Source organism: Homo sapiens, chromosome 11 (assembly GCF_000001405.40).
Source record: "Homo sapiens chromosome 11, GRCh38.p14 Primary Assembly".
Classification (NCBI taxonomy): Eukaryota; Metazoa; Chordata; class Mammalia; order Primates; family Hominidae; genus Homo; species Homo sapiens.
This window is the reverse complement of record NC_000011.10, coordinates 118,003,120-118,027,168: the sequence shown is the minus strand read 5'-3', so window position 1 is coordinate 118,027,168 and position 24,049 is coordinate 118,003,120. Positions and strand designations below refer to the sequence as shown.

At 45.6% G+C, this 24,049-nt stretch overlaps 1 protein-coding gene across 5 annotated transcripts in view, besides 4 other annotated features; it reads left to right on the top strand.

Annotated features, from left to right (window-relative positions):
• Positions 1 to 23,535, top strand: part of SMIM35 (small integral membrane protein 35) — an 83,330-nt gene extending 59,795 nt beyond the window's left edge. For 3 of the 5 annotated variants that reach the window (NM_001394165.1, NM_001394164.1, XM_024448283.2), the window contains 4 exons: positions 11,360 to 11,476; positions 12,428 to 12,461; positions 13,289 to 13,421; positions 20,793 to 23,535. In NM_001394165.1, coding sequence (NP_001381094.1) covers positions 11,360 to 11,476; positions 12,428 to 12,461; positions 13,289 to 13,388 — 251 coding nt within the window. In that variant the 3' untranslated portion in view covers positions 13,389 to 13,421; positions 20,793 to 23,535. Of the gene's footprint in view, positions 1 to 11,359; positions 11,477 to 12,427; positions 12,462 to 13,288; positions 13,422 to 20,792 lie in introns of those variants that run through there. The other 2 variants (NM_001394166.1, NM_001354434.2) reach the window with 2 other exon arrangements.
• Positions 9,115 to 9,284: an enhancer, noted in NCBI's record as "experimental_19207 CRE fragment used in MPRA reporter constructs". NCBI's record gives its function as "activates a minimal promoter by MPRAs in K562 erythroleukemia cells, with activity observed for both the introgressed and non-introgressed 11:117888685 variant alleles {active_cell/tissue: K562}" and the evidence as "EXISTENCE:reporter gene assay evidence [ECO:0000049][PMID:34662402]".
• Positions 15,934 to 16,434: an enhancer, noted in NCBI's record as "H3K4me1 hESC enhancer chr11:117881450-117881950 (GRCh37/hg19 assembly coordinates)". NCBI's record gives its function as "activates a minimal SCP1, AML or CMV promoter by ChIP-STARR-seq in primed H9 embryonic stem cells {active_cell/tissue: H9 hESC(primed)}" and the evidence as "EXISTENCE:reporter gene assay evidence [ECO:0000049][PMID:30033119]".
• Positions 16,580 to 16,679: an enhancer, noted in NCBI's record as "active region_5581". NCBI's record gives its function as "activates an Ori minimal core promoter by ATAC-STARR-seq in GM12878 lymphoblastoid cells {active_cell/tissue: GM12878}" and the evidence as "EXISTENCE:reporter gene assay evidence [ECO:0000049][PMID:35858748]".
• Positions 17,204 to 17,253: a silencer, noted in NCBI's record as "silent region_3942". NCBI's record gives its function as "represses an Ori minimal core promoter by ATAC-STARR-seq in GM12878 lymphoblastoid cells {active_cell/tissue: GM12878}" and the evidence as "EXISTENCE:reporter gene assay evidence [ECO:0000049][PMID:35858748]".

Below are 24,049 nucleotides of genomic sequence, written 5' to 3'. Positions count from 1 at the left end.
GTAGTCCCAGCTACTCGGGAGGCTGAGGCAGGAGAATGGCGTGAACCCGGGAAGCGGAGCTTGCAGTGAGCCGAGATTGCGCCACTGCAGTCCGCAGTCCGGCCTGGGCGACAGAGCGAGACTCCGTCTCAAAAAAAAAAAAAAAAAAAAAAGTGGTGGTGGTGGATTTTTAAAAAATTCACATAGCTGACAGCCTGTTGGAGAAACATCTGAGAATTTTCACCTGTAGCAACATATGTGGGGCAAAAGTTGTATTGACCTTTTCTTAAATTTGGATTTTGTGAAGAGGCATATCAGTTTACCATAGATTCTTGGCTACCGAGACTTATATAAGACCTGCATTTTATATTTTTATTTTTTAAAAAAAGAAACAGGGTCTCACTGTGTTGCTCAGGCTGGTCTCAAATTCCTGGGCTCAAGCAATTCTCCTGCCTCAGTCTCCCAAAGTGCTGAGGATTACAGGCATGAGCCACCACGCCCAGCCTAAGACCTGCATCTTAATGAATGCAGAGTTGGTAGATACATTATTTCCCTCTGTAAAATCCTAGGTAAGGGTTCATGTGCCCATCTGATGTCCCAATTATTTTGGCCAGTAATTAGAATATATTAATTAATCAAGCAAGAAATTTATTCTGGCAAGATCACCAAGAGTGATTTTTCTAAAGCCAGATGTTCTAGTGGGAGCCCCAAGATAATATATCTGTTTGGAATATATTAGCCACAGAGAAATCACCTTTAATTATTCATATAGTAGAGATATCCTAGACCTATTTCTGAGAAAAACTGTGGCTGTGCCTGAAGATTGGCCCACCTCAGTATAGGCATTGACCAGGAGAGAAAAAGGGTCAGGCTTCTCCATTTCTATTGAGGAAATACTCCCTCATCCCCAGCTTTTTCATTTTCTATGTTTAGTTCTAAAATATGTGGCTTTACCACAGGCATCACATTACCCAACTTCAAACTATACTACAAGGCTACAGTAACCAAAACAGCATGGTACTGATACAAGGAGACACATTAGACCAATGGAACAGAATAGAGAACCCAGAAATAAAGCTGCACACCTACAACCATTGGATCTTTGACAAAGGCTACAATAATAAGAAATGGGGAAAGGAGTCCCTATTCAAAAAATGGTGCTGGGATAGCTGGCTAACCCTATGCAGAAGATTGAAACTGGACCCCTAACTTTCACCATATACAAAAGTTAACTCAAGATAAATTAAAGACTTAAATGTAAGACCTAAAACTGTAAAAATCCTAGAAGAAAAGCTAGAAAATACCATTCTGGACATTGGCCTTGGCAAAGAATTTATGACTAAGTTTCCAAAAGCAGTTACGACAAAAATAAAAACTGACAAAAGGGACCTGATTAAACTAAAGGGCTTCTGCACAGCAAAAGAAACTATCAACAGAACAAACAGACAACCTATAGAATGGGAGAAAATATTCACAAACTATGCATCCAACAAGGGTCTAATATCTAGAATCTATAAGGAACTTGGGCAATCTGACAAGCAAAGACCAAATAACCCCATTAAAAAGTGGGCAAAGGACATGAACAGACACTTCTCAAAAGAAGACATACAAGTGGCCAACAAACACGAAAAAATGCTCTCAACATCACTAATCATTGGAAAAATGCAAATCAAAACCACAGTGAGATACCATCTCATGCCAGCAAGGAAAGCTACTATTAAGAAGTCAGAAAATAACAGATGTTGGCAAGGCTGCAGAGGAAAGGGAACGTTTACACACTGTTGGTCGAAATGTAAATTAAAATGTAAATGTAAAATGTAAAGTTCAGTCACTGTGGAAAGCAGTTTGGAGATTTTTCAAGGAACTCAAAACACAACTACCATTTGACTGCACAATCTTATTACTGGGTATATACCCAAAAGAAAATAAGCAGTTCTACCAAAAAGTCACATGCACTCATATGTTCATTGCAGCACTATTCACAACAGCAAAGACTTAGAATCAACCTAGGTGCCCATCAACAGTGGAGTGGATGAAGAAAATGTGGTACATATACACCATGAAATACTACACAGCCATAAGAAAGAACAAAATCTTCTCCTTTGCAGCAAAATTGATGAAGCTAGAGGTCATTATCCTACGTAGATTAACACCAGAACAGAAAACCAAATACCACATGTTTTCCGTTACAAGTGAAAGCTTAACACTGGGTACATATGGACAGGGAAAAATAGACACTGGGGACCACTAGATCGGGGAGAGAGGGAGAGGAGCAAGGGTTGAAGAACTAACTATTGGTAATAGTAATGCTCACTACCCGGGTAATGGGATCATTTGTATCCCAAACCTCAGCATCATTCAATATACTCATTTAACAAACCTGTACATCTACTTCCTGAATCTAAAATAAAAGTTGAGGCTGGGCACGGTGGCTCATGTCTGTAATCCCAGCACTTTGAGAGGCTGAGGTGGGCAGATCACCTGAGGTCAGGAGTTCGACACCAGCCTGGTCAACATGGTGAAACCCCACCTCTACCAAAAATACAAAAATTAGCCAGGCATGGTGGCGGGCAGCTGTAATCCCAGCTACTTGGGAGGCTGAGACAGAAGAATTGCTTAAACCTGGGAGGTCGAGGTTGCAGTGAGCCGAGATCACACCATTGCACTCCAGCCTGGATAACAGAGCGAGACTCTGCCAAAAACAAAACAAAACAAAACAGAACAAAACAAAACTGGCCTCACCCTTTATAAGCAATACAGTGAACATGTAGCTCAGGACCTTACTAGACACCATACCCTTGACCTGTATATTTTCCAACCTATACATATGGTTTAGTTAAAAAGAATGATTCTTACGGAGGGTCGGTTGAAAGGAAATGTAGTCTATTTCTTCCTAAGGATAGTTTAGGCCTTCCTTGATGTAATAAAAAAAGAGTTATGATATCAACCATGGGCACCAGAATTCCTCATAGGAAAAGAAATGTCTTGTTTGAACAAATAACTTGACAGGTTCTTCAAAATTGGAAAATTGTTGGCCATATCTCATCAAAATTTTTTTTTCTGTTTTCCCTCGTTTTCTCCTTCAGGGAATCTAATTACACATATATTAGGTGGCTTGAAGTTGTCCTGCACCTCACTAATACTCTTTTCTTTCTTTCTTTCTTTTTTTTTTTTGGAGAAGGCATCTCACTCTATCACCCAGGCTGAAGTGCAGTGCAACCTCCACCACCCAGGTTCAAGCATTCTCCTTCCTCAGCCTCCCGAGTTGCTGGTATTACAGGCACACGCCACCACACCTGGCTAATTTTTTTATATTTTTGGTAGAGATGGTGTTTCACTATTTTGGCCAGGCTCGTCTGGAACTCCTGACCTCAAGTGATCCATCCACCTTGGCCTCCCAAAGTGCTGGGATTACAGGCGTGAGCCACCACGCCCAGCTTTTTCATTTGTTTTATTACTTTTTTTCCCCTCTATGTCTCACCTTGGATAGTTCCTATTGCTATGCCTTCAAGTGCACTACTTTTTTCTTCTGTGATGCCTAGTGTGCTGTTAATTCCATTCAATGTAATTTTCATCTCAGATGTTGTAGTTTTCATCCCTGGAAATAATTTGGGTCTTAAAAAATGGGGTCTTTTACACAAGAAGGGGAACATCACACTCTGGGGACTGTTGTGGGGTGGGGGGAGGGTGGAGGGATAGCATTAGGAGATATACCTAATGCTAACTGACGAGTTAATGGGTGCAGCACACCAGTATGGCACATGTATACATATGTAACTAATCTGCACATTGTGCACATGTACCCTAAAACTTAAAGTATAATAATAATAAAATAGAAAAAAAGGGTCTTTTATAATTTGAGACTTATTGAATCTCTCTTTCTCCCTCTCCCTCTTTTTCACACACACATGAAATTGAGGCTTTTGGTGGTTAAATAACTTGCTGAAGGCCTCAGACTGATGAGTGAATAGGATTCAGACCCAGGCTGCAGGATTCCAAGGCCTGTGCTCTGTTGGTTGTTCTGTTCATTATGGGTCATTTTGCTCTGCCTCTCTGAGTGCCTGGTAATATTTGACTGAATGAGGATATTGTGAATTTTACTTTGCTGAGTGGTAGATATTTTTGTTTGCCTATAAATATATTGGGAAGCAGTTAAGTTAGTTGGAAGCAGTTTGACCTTTTTGGGTCTTGGTTTTATGATTTGTTAGATGGGTTCGGAGCAGTAGACAAATCATAAAACCAAGACCCAGTGTAGTGGAAATAATTAGCCTTAGGCTGAACAGTCTAAGGCTAATTATTCTCACCACTAAGGCAAGAACTTCCTGAGTTCCCTATCCAATACCCTGTGAATTACGAGTTTTTCTAGTCTGGTTTATGGGAATAGGCCCTGCTTCTAGCCCTATTTGAATGCTAGACACTGTTTCCCACGAATGCTTTCAGATGATTCTCTGGCCTCAGGTAGCTCCTTTATACACAGGCACTCATTACTTATTGAATACTTGAGGGGGTCCCTCTGCACATAGCTGGATTCTTTACCTGATGTAGCTCTTTCCTCTGTCTTGTGAACTTTAGCTGCCTTGGACTGTCTCCTCAACTTACATTTTTGCTATGTTGTGTTTTCAATATCATTCAGATCTAAGTATTTTCTAATTTCCCTTGTGATATCTTCTTTTACCCAGGATGTTTTTAGAAGTGTGTTGTTTAATTTCCAAATATTGGGATGTTTTCCAGATATCTTTTTGTCTTTATTTTCCAATATAATTCTGTGGTCAGGGAACATATTGTATATTATTTTAACTTTTAAAAATTTATTGAGATTTACTTACTAAGACTTATTGTTGGGCCAGGGGCGGTGGCTCACGCCTGTAATCCCAGCACTTTGGGAGGCCAAGGCAGGCGGATCATGAGGTCAAGAGATCAAGACCATCCTGGCCAACATGGTGAAACCCTGTCTCTACTAAAATTACAAAAATTATCTGGGCATGGTGGCAGGCACCTGTAGTCCCAGCTACTCGGGAGGCTGAGGCAGGAGAATCACTTGAACCTCACTTGAACCAGGGAGGTGGAGGTTGTTGTGAGCTGAGATTGCACCACTGCACTCCAGCCTGGTGACAGAGCAAAACTCCATCTCCATCTCAAAAAAAAAAAAAAAAAAAAGACTTATTGTTTTATGGTTTAGCATATGATCTGTCTTGATGAATGCTCCATATATACTTGAGAACAATGTGTATTCCCCAGATGTTGGATGTAGTGTTCTGTAAATGTCTACAAGGTCAAGTTAGCTGGCAGTGTTGTTTGTGTCCTCTATATCCTTAGCTGATTTCCTGTTCTATCAATTGCTGAGAGAGAAGAGTTGAATTCTCTAATAATAATTATGAATTTTTAAAGTTTGTCTTTCAGTTCTACTCATTTTTTCTTTTTATATTTTAAAGCTATATAATGAAATGTCCTCTTGATGAGTTGTCCCTCTTATCATTATGAAATGTCCTTCTTCATCCTTGGTAATATTTCTTGTTTTAAAATCGTTTTTGTCTGATATCCACAGAGCCACTTCAGCTTTCCTTTGATTAGTTTTTATATGGTATATCTTTATTTTCCCTTTTATATGTGACTGTGATAAGTTAAAGATACATTTTATAAACCCTAGAATAATGAATAAAAACTATAGGAAAGATGTATAGCAAATGATATAAAATTAGACATAACGGAAAAATTTAATAAATAATTGGAAATTATAAAAAGAATTAAGTTAAAATTATGGAAATGAAAAACACCATAACAAATTAAAACACTAAGGATGATTAATAGCAGATTAGACACAGCTGAAGAAAGAATTAGTCAGCTAGAAGATAGGCCCAGAAAAAAATATCTAAGACTGAAGTTTAGAGTGACAAAAGTAAGTAAAAAGAAAAAACAATTTTATTGTTAATGTCAAACTTTTAAACTGAATTTTCAGTAACATTCACAATAATTTCCAATGTTTTACCTCCTACAGAGTAAGCTTCTAAAAGCTTTACTTTGACTTCATGAGTTAGATGAAAACATTGAGCTAGTATTAAAATTAAATTAACTGTTACTCTTTTCTTATACCAGCCATAATTCTATAACTCATGTCCATCTTAATAAATAGTAAAAAAAAAAACCTTACCCTGTGAATTTGGAAACTAAAAACGCACTGCCAAATACCTCAAGGGTTAAAGAAGATATCCCAGTGGAAATTAAAAAACATTTAGATCAGACAAAGGTAAAAATATTACGTATCAAGTCTTATAAAATGAAGCTAAAGTGATGCTTAGGGGTAAATTTAGAGCATCAAATACATATATCAAGGTACATTATACTGGAAGTTCTAACCAATACAATTAGACAAGAAAAATAAACTGAGACATATAAGAACAGAAAGTAAGAAAGCAAATGGCCTTTATTTGCGGACAATATAATAGTCTACATATCCAAGGAAGACCAGAAGAAAATGATTAGAATGAGAGAATTCAGCAACACTATTACATGGAAAACCAATATACACAAAACAAGCTCCTGTTCACACTTACAACAACATTATAAAGTACTGAGGAATAAATCTAGCAAGAAGAGTACCAAACCTTTAAGGGACAAATTATAAAACATATGACAGTCTATAAAAGATGACCCAAAATAAATGAAAACATTTGCCATACTTGTAAGTTTGTAGACTCAGTATCTCAAATATATAAGTTTTATCCAAATAAACCTATACATTTACTGTTATCTCAATCAAATTCTAATAGAGATTTTCACTGACCTTGAAAAACGAATTCCCAAATTCACAAGAAAGAGAAAAGTACTCAGAATAACTAACATGCTTATGAGGGAGGATAGAGTGGAGCGTTTATTTTACCAGCTATCAAGATTTATTTATATATTTATTTATTTAGTCAGTTAGTTATGATGGAGTCTCGCTCTCTCACCCAGGCTGGAGTGCACTAGTGCGATCTTGGCTCACTGCAACCTCTGCTGCCTGGGTTCAAGTAATTCTCCTGCCTTAGCCTCCTGAGTAGCTGGGATTACCTTTGCCCGCTACCACACCTGGCTAATTTTTGTATTTTTAGTAGAGATGGGGTTTCACCATGTTGACCAGGCTGGTCGTCTTGAACTCCTGACCTCAGTTGATCCGACAACCTTGGCCTCCCAAATGCTGGGATTACAGGCGTGAGACACCATGCCCAGCCGAGATTTATTATGAGACCATAGTAATTAAGATAATGTAGCAGTGTTTGTCATTACATGTCTAGTGTCCAGTGACAGACACGTAGACCAATAGAATACAGTTGAAAGCCCAGAAAAAGAAGCAGGCACATCTGTTTAACTTGATATATGAAAGCAGCAGCAATGAAGGGGAAAAGGATGGAAAATTAATTTCCATACAAAAATTATGGAGATAATGTATACAAAAATGAATTCCAGGTTGATTAAAGTCCGAAACTGTAAAAAACAAAACGTTAAAACTTCTAGAAAAAAAATAAGGAGTATGTCTCGGAGGAGAGATGGATGTCTTAAATAAGATTTTTAAAAAGCACAAATAGATAAATTTGATTAAAATATTAGTTAAAATTCTGCTCAAAAAAGACACTATAGGCAAACTTAAGAGGCAAACCACAGCCAAAGACTTTGGGGGACCCCTTTGCAGATCTCTGAGAGTCCTTGTCTCTGTCCAGCTCCCTTCTCTCTGGTATTTTGTCCGTAAATTCTAGCTTCCTGGGCTTCCCTGAACTTAAATTCTGACTCCTCAATTTGACTGCTGGGCTCTTTCTGGGTTTTCCCTCCTGTGCTGGAACTCGGGGAACTCACCCAGGCAATAAGCCAGGCAATCCTAGAGAGCTCTTCATTTTACTTCCTTCCTTCAGGGATCACTATTCTGTACTACCTTTGCCCATTGTTTTAGATGGTTTGTTGGTTTTCTAGTTATGAAAGTAGGAAAGTAAACCTGGTCCCTATTATTCCACCATGGCCAGAAGTGGAAGTGGTCCTAACATAATTTTCATAAAGTTTGAAAACATGTAAAACAATGCTATATATCTCTATATCTACATAGATATATAGAATTTGTTAAAAATATGAAGTAATGGTATAAAAAAGGTGTACAGCAGAGATAAACACCAAATTTGGGAGGGTATTTACTTGGAGGGAGAGATAGGAGAGGACTACTCTGAAATTGAGCTACTTTATAAGTAAGAAAGGCAGCATTTTAGAATTCTTTGAAAAATTACTAGTAGGCACATGGCTGTTCTTCATGCTATTTTATGTACTTCTTGTATGCATGAAATATTTTATAATAAAAATTTAAAAGTATTAAAAAAAAGACTAAAGAATATTAGGTAAAGGAGCATCCCAGAAAGATCAAAAGGTAAAATAGAGTAATTGTTTCTGCAACCTGCCTAAGTCAGAAGGCACTGTGTAGAAGACACAAAAAAGTAACAGTGGAGACATAACATCTCCTTCCCTCACCTCAGGGTCTCTGGAAGGCCTGTGATTTCCCTGCTGGTGCTTTCCTACTGGTATTTCCTACTTTTGGACAGACTTTTCTTTGATGAAACCCTTCAAACCCCAGCTTCCACAAACACCACCAGTATCACTATGACGCTGTGTTGACATCTGTCCGTCCACCTGTGAGTCACTAACCCTTAGTTCTTGAAGATTTGAGTCCTTGGGTCACTGTCCCTCTCTCTGTCATCCACAGAGATGATCTTCTTTGACCTTGGCCTCTTAGTTCCTTGCACTCCTTTCCTCTAATTACTGTCTCTTGCTTGGATATTGCAGTAGCCTCCTGACTGGTCCCCCTTCTCCAGCATCATTCCCTACTTCGTCAATTCTTAACACAGTAGCCAGCCAGAGACATCCTTTTAAAACATTGGGTCATGCCCTTTATCTGCTCCAAGTCCTCAAGTGACTCCCCATCTCACTCAGAGGAAAAGCCAAGCTCCCCTCATTGTCTTCAGAGCACTACATTATTTGGCTCCTGGTACCTCCTCTCCTGCTGCCTTCCTGCTCATGACCCAGGGCTCCTGGATGCTTCTGGAACCTGCTAGGCATGCTCCTGCCTCATTTGTACCTACTGCTCCCTCTGCCTAGACATTTTCACTCTAGATACCTCTAAGGCTTGTTTCTTCTCTCACCTCCTGGTATGGTTTGGCTGTGTCTTCACCCAGATCTCATCTTGAATTGTAGTTCCCATAATCCCCATGTGTTGTGGGAAGGACCTGGTGGGAGGTGATTTAATCATGGGGGTGGGTACCCTCTTGCTGTTCTCCTGATAGTTAGTAAGTTCTCATGAGATTTGATGGTTTAATAAGGGACTTTCCCCGCTTTTGCTTGGCACTCTTCTCCTTCCTGCCGTCATGTGAAGAAGGACGTGTTTGTTTCCCCTTCCACCCTGACTGTAAGTTTCCTGAGGCCTCCCCAGCCATGCTGAACTGTGAGTCAATTAAACCTCTTTCCTTTATAAATTACCCAGTCTCAGGTACGTTTTTATTAGTAGTGTGAGAATAAACTAATACACCTCCTTTAGGTCTTCTCAATTGTCACATTTGTCATAAGACCTTCCTTGACCACTTTATTTAAAACTGCTCTCTCCCTTCACAATGCTTTCTTTCTGCTTAATTTTTTTCTCTAGCATTTACCACCCTCTAATATGGTATATAATTAATTTCTTTATTTAGTTTATTGCCTGTCTCCCTTCACTGGAGGGGCTCTCTATGACTTCCCTGTCTCTCTTGTGGATACAGGAATCATTTGGTTACTCTCATGCCATGACAGCAACTCTTCAAGGTTGTGTGAGGCTCCATGTGGCAAGGCATCCATATGCAATTATTCTTATCTGGGCTCTTGCTGTCTTGGAGCTCAGCCCAGCTCTTGGATCCCACAACTCCATCTGGGAATTCTATTGCCTTCCCGGGGCTCGACTTTGGAGCAGGGAACAAGGTTGCTCTCTCTGGGACCCATCGGCATCTTTGTAACCTGGCCTTTTTCTTTATCTCTTTCATCTCTCTGGGCTGGAGATTTTTTCCTAGTATGATGAGGAGGGTAATTCTTGTTCTGGCTCACTTCTTGTCTATGCTGTGAATTCTTTCCCTTTCTCTAAGGGCCTGGGTTTTTGTAACTTAAAACTGAAGGGAGAGACCCCTTCCCTCTGCATTTGGCTGTCACATTCTGTTCACTGAGTAAATAACCTGGTTGCTAGTGAGAGGAAGGACCAAGAGGCATAGCATGGGCATACCGTTTTTAATGGGAGAATTGTGAAATACTTAAAAAATACAGTTGCACCATTTGATAATACTAATGACAACAACAACAATAATGATATAATTTACATCTATTGAGCATTTAGTGTATGTCAGATCCTCTCCTAAGTGCTCTCTACATGTGGTATCTCTTTTAATTGTCACAACAATCTATGTGTATTTAATATTAGTCTTATTTTCCATCAGAGCAGTTGAAGTTCAGCAAGGTAAAGGGACTTGTGTGTGTCAGGGTCTCACAGCTTGCAAATAGTGGATCTAGGCTTCAGATGCTAGCCTGCACCTAAAGTCTGAGTTCAACCACTGCACCTCCTGGCCTCTTGGCAGTATCCCTGGAGCCTCAGGACACCAAATGGGGAATCACTCCATTCTTCCACACTCCTGGTACCTCATCGGGCAGGAGTGGGGCTGGCCTTCCTGATTCCCTGCCCCGGCAGAGGTGGGTTGTCCGTAGGGTGCCCCCACTGTCAGCCTCTTCCTCAGAACCTGGTTGTCCTTTCTGCTTCTACCATGGCCTATCTCATCTCCTGCAGGTTTCCAACCTCTCTCTCTCTCTCTTTCTTGGTTTGACTTTACAAATAAAATATAAATTTAGCTAAGAGCTCATACCACAAAAAGGGAAGAAGTGGTAAGTACAGGCAGCAAACAGAGCCCAAGGGTTAACACCCTGCTGCCACTGGGTGCATGAGCTTTGCAAAGGGGTGGGGGGACTGAGGGTCCCCGGTCTGTGTTCTTGGACCCTCCAGGTGGCCCCTGACCACCTGGCTCATGCTGAGGCTGGACCTCCCAGGCTCACCCCGACACAGGTAGAGCTTTTTCCAGGTAGAATATGCCTGTGGCTTCAAAAAGACCTCAAACAATCTCTACTATCAGAGGACTATTCCTTTGGATTAACAAGCTCCAAATACCGATAGGCTCACTCTAAAAATTCAGGTGTCAGACATTTTCATCTTAGTATAGCTGGGCTGAATCACTGGGCTCAGAGCAAGGCTCCCAGGGGACAGTTATGTTGGTAGGCAGTGGGAAGGGAGGAGAACTTTGGAACGTGGTGCAGGTGGGTTGATGCAGGGGGCTGTGGGAGGGTGCACAGCTGCATGTCTCTGCAGGTGAGGACTCCATCAGCACCTTGGGCCTGATCCTTGGCGTGGGGCTCTTGCTGCTGCTCGTGTCCATCCTCGGCTACAGCCTGGCCAAGTGGTACCAGCGCGGGTACTGCTGGGAGGGTGAGTGTGCACTGGGCCCTGTAGCCCCGGTTCTGCGCAGCTCCTCCTCTCCCATAGCAGTTGGCAATGCCCGGCAGGGCTGCAAACTCTTCAGCATGGTGGGATGAAAAATATTTCCTGTGGTGGTTGCAGTGGTTGAAGACTTGAGTGGGTGGCTGAGCAGTTGAGGTGGTGAGGTGGGGCAATGGTACTTTTATCGAGGGAATGGGGGCTCCTCCCACCCCAGCAAGCAGCCAGCTTCCTCCTCCCTCAGAGCCCATAGACGTCCATGCCAGCGGTCTCTGTGGGCCCCCAAGGCCAAGATCAATGGGCTAGACAGGCCAAGCTCCAACAGGCTCCTTGTGTGTCTCTGCCCCTGCCTGTGGGTCTTAGGGCCCTCTCCTAAGCTTGTGGAGGTATCAGCTTCACTGGGAGTCTCCTGGAATTTGCTGTGGTGTTCTCAACTCTGAGACATAGCTGCACTTTTCACTGGTATCTGGGAAAACTGGAAGGGTGTGCTGGAATGCCAAGGGGTAGAAACTATTTCCTAGATCTGCACTTAACTTTAACAGAGTCCATGGATATTTGTTGAGCACCTACTATGTGCCAATGCACTTTTGTCTAATATGATTTTCTTTAAAATTCCACATGAGGAAGACATTATTATAGCCTTCATTTTTATAGATGGAGACATGAGGCTAAAGTCGTGGAGTTAGAATGAGGTGGAGTCTGAATCCAAGCTGAGGTCTGGTTCTTTTGGGCTCCAGGCTAGGACTGCCTTCATCCCAGGATAATCAGGACCGTTAATGGGGGGCCCTGAAGGAGGCTGGAATGCTCCCACACCATCCTGAGGTCCAGCCCAGCCACCCTACTCCTCCAGACAGGGGTGAGGGAGCACCAGACGTTCTTAGAAGGGTGGCGGACTGCTTCCCCTGGAGGTGCTAACCCTCTCTTTTTGGATTGTCTTCCTAGGGCCTAATTTTGTCTTCAACTTATATCAAATCCGGTGAGTAAATTCAGGGAATATCTGGGTGAGGTGGGGGTTGGGGGTAGATATAATGGAAAAAGAATCAAAGATAGATTAAGAACTGACTGGTTCCCTTTCCTGTCTTCTGTTCATGCCCCTAAGAAAATAAAAGAAGGGCACGAGAATCCATTTAGAAAAGTCCCATGAATTAAAATTTGAACACAGACAGGACTATGTGAAACCCTGATGACAATGATCTCCTTAACACTCACCCTTAGGCAGGGAACATCCATCCACCCATCCATCCATCCATTCATCCATCCATCCATCCATCCATCCATCCATCCATCCATCCATCCATCTCTCCCCCAAGCAGACAGAGCTGCCTTCCTTTCTTCCTTCCTTTCCTTTCCTTCCCTTCCCTTCCTTCCTTCCTTCTTTCCTTCCTTATCATTTATTCAGAAAGATGCTATCATAACCACCACTACTGCCGTATTAGTTTCAAAGAGTACAAAGATGACTGGGCATAGTCTCTGTCTTCAAGCATTTCATGTCTCTGCTGGAGACAGGTCTGATTACAAATAATGTAATCTCAGGCACAAGATGGTATCAGAAAGAAGAGCATATCAGAAAATCAGGGATTCAGGGAGTGCGAGCTGGAAGTCCTCTTGGCGTTGGTCATCTCATCTACTTGCCACAGGCAGGGCTGTACCTCCTTTGGCCCTGAGAGATGATTATGGTAAGTGGCCCACTTCCTTTTCTGGAAGACAAGTCAGTGAGTTGGTGCCCTGGAGTCAAGGGAGATGGGGACCCAGGGAGAGGCTAGGTTATCAGCTCCAGTAGCCTGATTGGATCATCTTTTTCAGGAACCTGAAGGATCTGGAGATGGGTCCACCCTTCACCATCAGTGGTCACATCAGCAGCACAGATGGTGGCTACATGAAGTTCTCCAACGGGCTAGTCTGATGCAGAGACAGCAACTTGTGAAGCCCTGGGGAGGTGAGTTGGAGTTGGGAGAGCTGCCGAGTGAGCCTGATGTCCAAGTAAGGTCCTAAGAGGGTCCAGTCACCCAAGCCTCGCACCAAGGACCACTTGGAACCCAAAGAGATTATTTGGTTCATCCCCTGTCTTCTGGTGCCGATCTCAGGCTTGGGTCATGTTTTCCCCCACCCGCTTCTGGCACTGGGCCTGCCCTGTTTCCTCCTGTCCACCCAATCCATGCCCGGCCTTTCCTTCCTGGGAAGGTTCTGTTTGCATTCAAGGTGGAAGCTTCTAGAGCACAGCTTTTTATCTTAACTCTTGCTCTGAGATAAAATTTCCAGATGGCCAATATCTCCAAGAAGCATCACTCTAGCACTTCAGTTCTGAGCTTTCTGAGCCCAGGAGCCTCCCCTGCTTCATGGCCCGCCAACTCTGGCCACACGTTCCCTTGCCTGCCTTTAAGCCCATCCCTTCCCCACATCTCAGTTGCTTTTTCCCATTCAAACCATTTCTCTCTTGGGCAGTTCTTGCCCCTCCCAGGCTCCCCTGGACTGCCCTCATCCCCTCGGATCTTCAAGGCCTGGCCTGGCCCCTCATTGTGGAGAATGAGGGGGTCTCCTCTGGATACGCCACCAGCCTATGGTATGGGAGTCCTGGGGAGTCAGGCCTCTGGGAATGGAGTCTGGCTGGGCAGCAGCGGCTTTCTCTCAGAACTAAAAGAGGCCACCATTCCTCAGGAGGAATCTAGATCCCAGGAAGCCCCTGAGCCTGTAGGAGGGGTCACAGATGTCCTGGAGAACCAGCCCTGCCCAGTGCAGTCCAGTGTGGGCAAGGCCTCCAGACACCAGCAGGGAGCTTCTTTATGTAGTATCTCCAGTTACCTGCCCTTGTAGGGTTGACCAGGGGCCAGAAAGCCACTCATAGCTTCAATAAGCAAAGTTATACAGAGGTGATTCCAGACATGGTTTTAACATTCCCACCTGAGGCCAACTTCCCTGAAGACTGAGCTGGGCCTCGACTCTGCCCTGCCCCCTCTGTACTTGATTCCAGCACTTTCAACCCTCCCCCTGCCCCATCCCCAATCTGGGCCTGTTCTCTTACTGCTCAAGGCCTCAGTGCCTCCCAAACATGGCCAACTCCCAATTTTGATGTGCAGTGCTGAGAACAGTCTAGAAACATGTTCTTGTCGCCTAGGCTCCTGCAATGGGCTGGGCACGGGGGAGTGGGTGAGTTCTACATTACAGTGTTCTGCATTTCTTGTGCAAAGCCTGTCCTGTGGCAAAAGTGGGCCAGAAATGGTGGGAGTGTGAAGAGGAACCCAGGCGAGGCTGAACAAACCAGATAATGCACCAGGGAAACCAGGAATCCACTGTAGTTTGGTAGACAGCAGGGCAGTTCCCCTCGTGAGTCATCACTCCTTTCTCCGGTCTGTGCCCTGCTGGACTGGAGGCAGAGTGTGCACAGGACGTCAGCTTAGAAGGTGCTTAGTGCAGACTTGTTCAAACCAGAGAGGCAGAGTCCTCGGGGCTCCTGTGGATGGAGTAGGGCAAGAGAAGGGAGCCTGTCACTGCTGAAACCTGCAGTTAGAACAGCCAGCTGCCAGCCTCTCTGCTAGCAGCCCAGCAACAGATGCAGGAGCCCAATAGAGCAAGTGGGAGGAGGAGGGAAGCTGTGTGATTTCTCTTCCTGTGCTCCCTTTCCCAAAGCCTCATTTCTCGTTTTGGGTTCTAGCAGATTGTAGAGGAAGGAAGGTGGGGAGCCTCACCAGCCCTTACCCCATTTTCTGCCAGGGTCTGGAGGCCATTCTCCCAGCATAGCCAGGCTTTGACTTAATTACCAAGTCTCTGGATTTGGAGGTCTTCAACTGAGTCTTCTGCCCCTGAGTAAGTGGGAGTGAGGAAGGCCCCTTAGTGGTTCTGAGACCCCTCCCTTCCTTGAAGGCCTCTTGGAATAGCAGGGAGGGGAGATGAGTTGTCTTCGGCTTCCTTCCTTGGATTTCAATTCTGAGGACTGGGGCCTCTTTCCTAACCCCTGAGGTTTGGGCCCCAGTAAAACTTTCTTTCTTTCTTTTTTTGAGATGGAGTCTTGCCCTGTTGCCCAGGCTGGAGTGCAGTGGCGGGATCTTGGCTCACTGCAACCTCCGTCTCCCAGGTTCAAAGGATCCTCCTGCCTCAGCCTCCCAAGTAGCTGGGGTTACAGGTGTGCGCCATCATGCCCGACTAACTTTTATATTTTTAGTACAGATGGGGTTTCACTATGTTGGCCAGGCTGGTCCCGAACTCCTAACCTCAAGTGAGCCACCCGCCTCGGCCTCCCAAAGTGCTGGGATTATAGGTGTCAGCTGCTGCACCTGGCCCGGCCCCAATAAAACTCTGTACCCGCACCCTGCCTAGCAGGGATCCTGGGTCTGCAGTCCATGCCCGGCCACCCTAGGCCCCCGGAAGTGCTCAGAACTCAGTAGCCTTGGGGAATCTTGAAAGGGAGGATGGGACCCAGGACCCAGGTGGCCCTGGCCCCAGGTCTGTGGCTTCAGGTGAGGAGACGGGGACAGCTGCCCGGGGCTGGGAGCACGGAGGGTATTTCCCATCCTCGGGAGCAGAACTGATACTGGGCGACTTCCTCTTTTAGGGCCCTCTGACGCACCCTCTGTCCCCTCAGCCTCCCCCTCTTTTCCTTACTTCCGCAGGCTACTGGCGAGCACAGCTTTCTTCACCCTTGGGGCCTGGGCCTTACCCCTGGACTTTGCGTGTTTCTGTTGAGGGCTCTAAAGGGCAGATTCCAGCTTGTTTAGAAACGATTCGGGAGCAGATGCCTGGAAACCCAGCCACAGGTTTGGCTGAGCCAGGCACTGGCTGGGACCCAGATCATAGCAGTGCCAGAGCCTCTCCCAACACCTTCCCGCTACCTTTTTACGGTTCTTCTTTCCACTGGCCCTAAGAGCCCAGAGGCAGTCACGGGGGCTGGGGGTCCAAGGGCTGGCTGGTCCGGGTTCCCCTGCCACGCTTTGGTGCCTTCTCTGGGGCTATTCTCCAGCCTGGGTGGCCTCTTGTCCCTGCAGCCCCTCCCCTCCTGGCCATATCTAGTCTCTGTGAGATGGCCCAAGTCCGTCTTTGCTGTGACTTCGCTCAGGGCTTGAGACTTGACACCAACCATTTTGATCTGAATTGCAGGTGGCCACATTTCCTCCATTTGTGCTGTTCCTCAACCAGGCTGAACCCTCTGCCAACAAAGTTATGTTCCATAGGTCTTTAGTAACTCCTAAAACTGGAGCGTGCTGGAGGAGGTCAGTGACTACTTGCCGAGTAGAGAAGAGACACCCAATGTAGCCACAGAAGGCTGCTTTGTCCTAGAAAATTGATCAAAATCATGATGAGGCTGGGAGGCGAAGAGGGAGCTTTTCTCTCCTCTAAGTTCTCCTTGAAGTCTTAATGATCTCGTCCCATGCCAGTGGCATTGGAGGGGGCCAGGTGCCAGGAGCCAGGAGGGCAGTGTCTCTGGTGCCCCTCTCTCTGCTTCAGGAGTCTGAGAAACTCAAAGTAGGAGCAGATGGGAGGATCATTATTATCTTTTTAAAAACTGCTTAGTGATCAAAAGGAGGAGCAGAGACTGTTTGCACAGTTCACAGTCCACAGAACACAAAGCCTTTTCTTGCATGGTACTGCATTTTGAGCCTTATGTCAAGCTTGAGACACAGGGATTATTCTTGGTCCCGTTTTACATATGGGGGCACTTGGGTCAGAAAAGCAGCATGCTTTACCCAAGTTCCACAACTGGCTACTGGCTGCACCAGAGCTGAGCAGAGTCTGCACCCTCACGGATGTAGCTGACATCAGGGCGTAAGGATGAGAACTGAATGTAGTATAAGGTCTGGTTCTGACCCTGCCCTGATGTGCTGTGTGGTCATGGGCTACTTACTCCACCTCTTTGGACATCTATTTCAGCATCTGGAATCAAAAGATTGGACTATTTTTCCAAGGCTTCTCCTGGTTCTTACCTGTAGGAGAGCAAAGACCTCATCTACTTTTTTTTTTTTTTTTTTTAAAGCGTCTGCATTCTCAGTTCTTAGCGTATAGCCTGGTCCATAGTAGGTGCTCAGTAAACAATTAAAAGATGCAAGTACAAAGTGTCAATATATCTTTCTAATTTAGGAGATGGCAGTTGAAAGGTGATGGCTGCAGTTCCCTAGTGGTCTAGGATTCTAAGCATTACTTAGCCTTTCCTTGACTCTGCGTGTGTCTGACCAGGTTCCAAGTCTGGCCCATTCCCAACCAACTTTACCTGTAGGGTGAAACGCTAACATTTGCTGAGCACATATCAGTGCAGGGCAGAGGCTTATGATGCGCGTCTTCATCCTCACAGCCTCACAGGTGAGGGAACAGAGGCCCAGAGTGCCGTGAAGTGATTTGTTCAAGGCCAAGCAAGAATCTATTTTCTTTATAGTCCTTTGTCACCCACTTCTAGCCTCAGTCCAAACTGGCAGCTATCCTAACATCCTTGGCCCCCAAGAACATACTCCTCCCTCCAGATGGTCTCTAATCTCTTTTTGGGGTCTCCTTGTGTGGTGAGAAGGGCGCTCAGGAGCCCAGTCCTCCCCAGGCCCCATCCTCAGCTCTGAGCTTCCCACTGACCCACTCCTCTTTCTTCCTTTTGTTTTTTTAGAACTTCCTTGACCTCCAAATCACCAAATTCTGCCCATTCTTCATGCCAGCTCAAATTTCCCTTCTCCAGGGAGACTTCTGTAAGACCCATGGATCTTGTGCTCTGCTGATTTTAAATACAGATAGTCTCAGGCCCCCATAACTTTATTATTGATTATTTCTTTGCATTCATTTATTCACGCTGCTTCCATAACATGCCAGGAACTATGCTAGGCACCATGGGGGCATCCAGTCTCCCTGAAATTAACCTTGCTTTCTCCTATTTGATGGGCATTTCTTGCAGGCAGAATCAGGTTTTAAACCTCTTCTGAGTTCTCCACGGTACTTTGCATGGCTCTGGCCATAGCCAGGAACTTCTCAGGAAATTGTGTTGAAATCTCTCTTCAGAACATCTTGGGCATTGCTTCATCCCTGGTGCAATCCTAGGTGCTCTGAAAACCAAAACTTTTGATCTCTCCCCATCCTTGACTACATTCAACCTTGTGCTCATGATCAGTTACATTTCTGAGAGAGAGCACACAGATGACGATTTTTCTATCTTAAAGGATAACCTAAGGAATGATCAAAACCGTGACAAGGCTGGCAGGTGAAGAGGGAGCTTTTCTCTCCTCTAGGTTCTTCTTCAAATCTTAATGGTCTTGTCCCATGCCAGTGGCATTGGAGGGGGCCTGGTGCCAGGAGCCAGGAGGCCAGAGTCTCTGGTGCTCCACTCTCTGCTCCAGGGGTCTGAGAAACTCAAAGTGGGAGCAGATGGGAGGATCATTATTATATTTCTAAAAACTGCTTAGTGATCTAAAACCATCTAGAAGCCGTGATATTTAAACAGATCTGGTACAAAACAGGAAGCCAGTGGCCTGGTGAATTCTCACACTTGGAGACCAGAAGTGAAAATGTTCTGCCTGCCCAGAGTAGCAGCAGGCCAGCAAAACAACAGGTGTGGCCGGGCACGGTGGCTCACGCCTGTAATCCTAGCACTTTGGGAAGCCAAGGCGGGTGGATCACTTGAGGTCAGGAGTTCAAGATCAGCCTGGCCAACATAGTGAAAACCCATCTCTGCTAAAACTACAAAAATTAGCCGAGCGTGGTGGCTCGTGCCTATAATCCTAGCTACTAGGGAGGCTGAGGCAAGGGAATTGCTTGAATCTGGGAGGCAGATGTTGCAGAGAGCTGAGATTGTGCCACTGGACTCCAGCCTGGAGACAGAGCAAGACTGTCAAAAGAAAAAAAAAAAAAGAAAGCAAGAAGTTGAAAAACAAATCAAGAAAAAACAGGTTGGGCAGTGCTGGAAGTGAGTTTTTATCTGCAGAGCTATTGGGTTGGTCTACTCCTCCCTAATCAGGAGGATGCGGTTTCTCATGATAAGCAGAGAACCACTGGGGGGATGATGGTGAGCAGTATAAGAAGTCACATCTTCGGCCGGGCACAGTGGCTCACACCTATAATCCCAGCACTTTGGGAGGCCAAGGCGGGTGGATCACAAGGTCAAGAGTTTGAGACCATCCTGGCCAACATGGTGAAACCCTGTCTCTACTAAAAATACAAAAGTTAGCTGGGCATGGTGGTGCCTGACTGTAGCCCCCACTATTTGGGAGGCTGAGGCAGGGGAATCTCTTGAACCCAGGAGGCAGAGGTTGCAGTGAGCCAAGATTGCACCACTGCACTCCAGCCTGGCAACAGAGCGAGTCTCAGTCTCAAAAAAAAAAAGAAGTTACATCTTCTATTCTAGTCCCATTTCCTCCCCTTGTAGCTGGTGAGCGCAAGCTCTCTGAGCCCCTGATGCTGTGTTTGTTTGTATAAGGCTGCCATTGGACCTGAGGACTCTGAGGTCCCTTCCAGCTGGGAGGCTATTTCAGAGCTCAGGTAACTCGGAATAATCCTTTTTCACCCACTTCTAGCCTCAGTCCAAACTGGCAGCTACTCTGACATCTTTGGCCCCCAAGAACCTACTTCTCCCTCCAGATGGACTCTAATCAGTTCCACAGTGCTGGGTGGGGGTGGGGAGTGGAGAAGGAGGTGGGTGGAGACACCCCTGTGTGTGTGTGCGTGTGCGTGTGTGTGTGTATGTACTACACAACTGAGCCAAGAAGGAGAAGGATCATGTCTGATGCCTTTTGTATTTCCAGAGGGCCTGCCCATGACAGAGGCTCAATGAATGTTTGCCCAAAGAGTGAATGCATGTTGAATGTTTTCATGGTCCTTTGCCTTGTCTCTTGACCACATCCCCTTGCCTTCCCATTTGGTCTATAGCCCTGAGTTCCTACAACACCCAAGAGTTGTAGGGTGAAAATTGCAGGGAAGGGATCCAGCATGATATGACTCAGCTAGGAAGATGACAAGCCTGAAGATAAAATTTAAAATAATAGATATATACAGGCTGCTTTTCTTTAGGCTCAGTCTAAATGCCTCCCAAGTATCTGTTCAGCCACAAGCTACCATCACCACTGTTGCCTTCTCATGTTTGGATACTATGCTTCTTCAAGTTCCTTACCACGAATGGAAGAAATTCATTCATCCATGCACTCATTTATTCATCAAAATTTATTGAGTATTGAGCACCCATTGCGATGTGTTAGGCATTGATTGGGTGCAAAGGACACAGAGAGAAATCAGAGGGGTTTTTGCTGCCCAGGAGCCTACAGTCAGTACTGCATGTAGCACACTCAGGGGTAGCAATGTGCCCAGGGCACTAATTAAAGAAGTCAACTTGAAGACTACTGTGTCCATTTCACAGATGAGAAGACTGAGGCCCAGAACTGACATGACAGTTTCATGTGGAGAGAACAGAAAGTGGCTGAGCATTCTTTCTACTCCCTGGGGCTGTTGCCTCTTCCTCTTTGCCTTTGGAGCATTTCCAGACCAACAAGCTTGCTGCGGCAGTCCATCCGGCCATTCGCATATTATAGCATACCATGTGCGGGGTGTCCCTGGAGCTGTCAGTGCTGCAGAAGCAGTTGGAAGTGGAGTCAGTGAGTCTTTCAATTCTTTCAAAAAGTTGATTGTGAAGGATGGGAGAGAAGGTGGTGCTGGCCAGTAAGTTTTCAGAACCTTTGTCTTGTCTTCCCCAAGGAGGCCTCCCAGAAAGCGCCAGCTGGGCCAAATGCCCGCTCTCCACACGCCATCGACCCCTGTGCACATCCCCATGACAGCCCATACAGTCGGTGCCTCCCGTCCTCCTGGCCTGACAAAGTCTCGTCTGCAGTGCCCACTGCCTGCCATCTGCTTACTGCCCAGCTCCTCCAGTTCTGGGGGAGCCCATGCAGCTCTGTGCACTGCATCAGGAGGACTGCGGTATGGAGATTAGACTGAGGGAGCAGGAGTGGATGCAGAGGAGCAGGACAGAGCCTCATGGTGGTCCAGGGGAGAGGTGAAGATGAATTTGACCAGATGACAGTGGGAGGTGGTGACAAGTGATTGGATTCACCATCTATCTGGAAGGTAGAGCTGATAGGACTTACTAAGGAGTTTGATGGGGCAGAAAGGGCTGACTCCTGGATTTTTGGCCTGAACTAGGGGAAAGGTGGTGCCATTTATCAGGTGGGGAAGACTAGGGGAGGAAGGAGTGTCAGGGGAATCATGAGCTCTGTTGTAGACACTATAATTTTGAGATGTATGCTGGACGGAGCTGCTGATGAGGCAGCTGGATAGAGTTCTGGAGAGAAACCCTGTTTGGACATTTGGAAGCCACCAGCATCCAGATAACACTTAAAGGTGTGGACTGGGTGATAACAAGTAGGGGGCAGTGAGGAGAAAAAGGACTGATTTTAATAGAACAAGCAGCGAATCAACAAGTTGTTCCTTAAAGAGGTGACTCAGTGTGTGCTGGAATCACCTGCAATGTGGTCGCTATAAGTTGTTTCCCTAGCAGGTCCTTGGGAACCGGTATTCAGAAATTCTGGGCCTTGGGGAGCAGCTTAGGAAGACAAATACTCCCATGTAATTCTGATAGAGGCAATCTTCTGAGAAACTCTGCCTTAGGGGACAGGTAGAGGGGATGTGGGGAGGTGGAGGGCAAGGGTCACTTCCAGGGCTGGGGTGACCAGATAGTAGGATTCTGAAGAATGTTCCTGTTCTCTCCAGGGTCACTGTGAGGTCTTAATCTCCACCACGCCCTTCTGCCCCATGTGGGTAGAGGTAGACAGGTGTGGCACCCTACACCCAGGCCTTTGCAGATCATGTACTAGTCTGTACCCCTCCCTGAGCCTCTCAGCTCTACAGATTAGACAACTTACTAAAGGGAGCCCTCAGCTGCACCCTTGATGATGGGCTGTGATTGACCAAGGAGCCCCAGTGAGGCTCCTGGCTGGGCTCTGCAAGACAGATGCCAAACACAGCCGTGGCTCCTGTGACTCGATGAGTTGAAGGGATGGCAGCCTGCTTTTCCTCAAGGCAGGAAGTCATCGCGTGAATATTCTAACTGTATTGGCTGCAGGGGTTTGGGGATCTTCTCCAAGCCGGCGTCCTTACCTTCACACTAAGGGCTATGAGCTCATTCACTCTCACATGGGAATCCCTAACCCTGAGCCTCACAGATCCAGGCCAGCCTTGCCAATTGCTGAAAGACCTTTTCTTGGATGACTTGTCATTATTAAGCCAGAACTCATCATCTCCCCTCTCCCTCCACACCTCTGTCTCCCTTCCATGTCCATATTTCGCTTTTCTCATCATCGGGTTCAAGTGTGACTAGCACTTCTGAGACCTCCTTCTTTCACTCCAGCCTGTTGCCCCATCTTGATAATGCTTCCTTTAAAATGTCTTTGAGTCTGTCCCTTTCTCTCTGTTCCCACTGCCCCTGCTCAATACTGTCATTTGATTAGACTATTGTATAAGCCTCTCTTATGAACTGAATATTTTTGTCTTCCCCAAATTCATGTTGAAGCTGTCACTCCCAATGTGACGGTATTTGGAGGTAAAGCCTCTGGGAGGTAATTGGTTTAGATGAGGTCATGAGGATGGGGCCTCCATGATGGGATTAGTGCCCTTGTAAGAAAGTGGAAGAGAGACCAGAGTTCTTTATCTCCACCGTGTAAGGCCACAGCAAGAAGGAGGCCGTCTCCAAGCCAGGAAGAGAGCCCTCCCAGGGAACTCACTCAGCTGGCACCTTGATCCTGCACTTCCCCACCTCCAGAACTGTGAGAGATAAATGTCTGTTGTTTAAGCCACCCAGTCCATGGTGTTTTGTTATAGTAGCCCAGCCTAAGACAGCCTCCTACCCTGTTTCTCTGCCTCCTGCCTCATCCTTCATGTGGAATACTAGTTTCTTTCACATCACTTATCACTGATTGTAGTAATACGTTTGTTGTGTTTATTTGCTTGGTGTTTATCTTCATAACCAGATGACAGGCTCCATGAAGCCACACTTGTTTGGTTCACCACTCTGTACCCAGGGCTGCACACCATGTCCAACACATAACAAGTGCTTCGTAATGTTTTTTGACAAAATGAAATGCTGACTACAATAAAAGTCTCCAGCCAGGTCTCTTTGCCTCCTGCCCCATCCTTTCTGATTCATGTCTGATGCTTTGGATAGAGCCATATTCTTAAAACACAAGTTTTATCCTACCCAGTCCTTCTTCGGCAGAGTGTTTATTGGGTCCCACAACCCTTTTTGGAGGTTTATGGGAAATTAAGTGAAGTTAGGATCGAGATGATAGTGGGAAAATGTGCTGTGTGTCATTAATAACAATGCATTTAATTTTAAATTGGGGTTTACTTCAAACCCAAAACTGTGGGTTTGCTTTTTTAACCCATGAGCACAACAGGAAATGAATGAGTCAAGCTTCCTAGTATCTAGGGTCCTCTAGGTTGAGGCTTGATCAAATCAGCCCTGACTGCCCAGACCTGCCACTTAGGCAGCAGACCTGTCAGTGGTCCCAGGTGGTCACAGCCTACAGCTTCCCTTGCTGTGCTGTTCCCATGTGGGGCTCAGAGACCTTCCACCCAGCAGAGCAGCATGGGCTCTGGGGGTGGGACCCAGCTTCCTAGGGACTG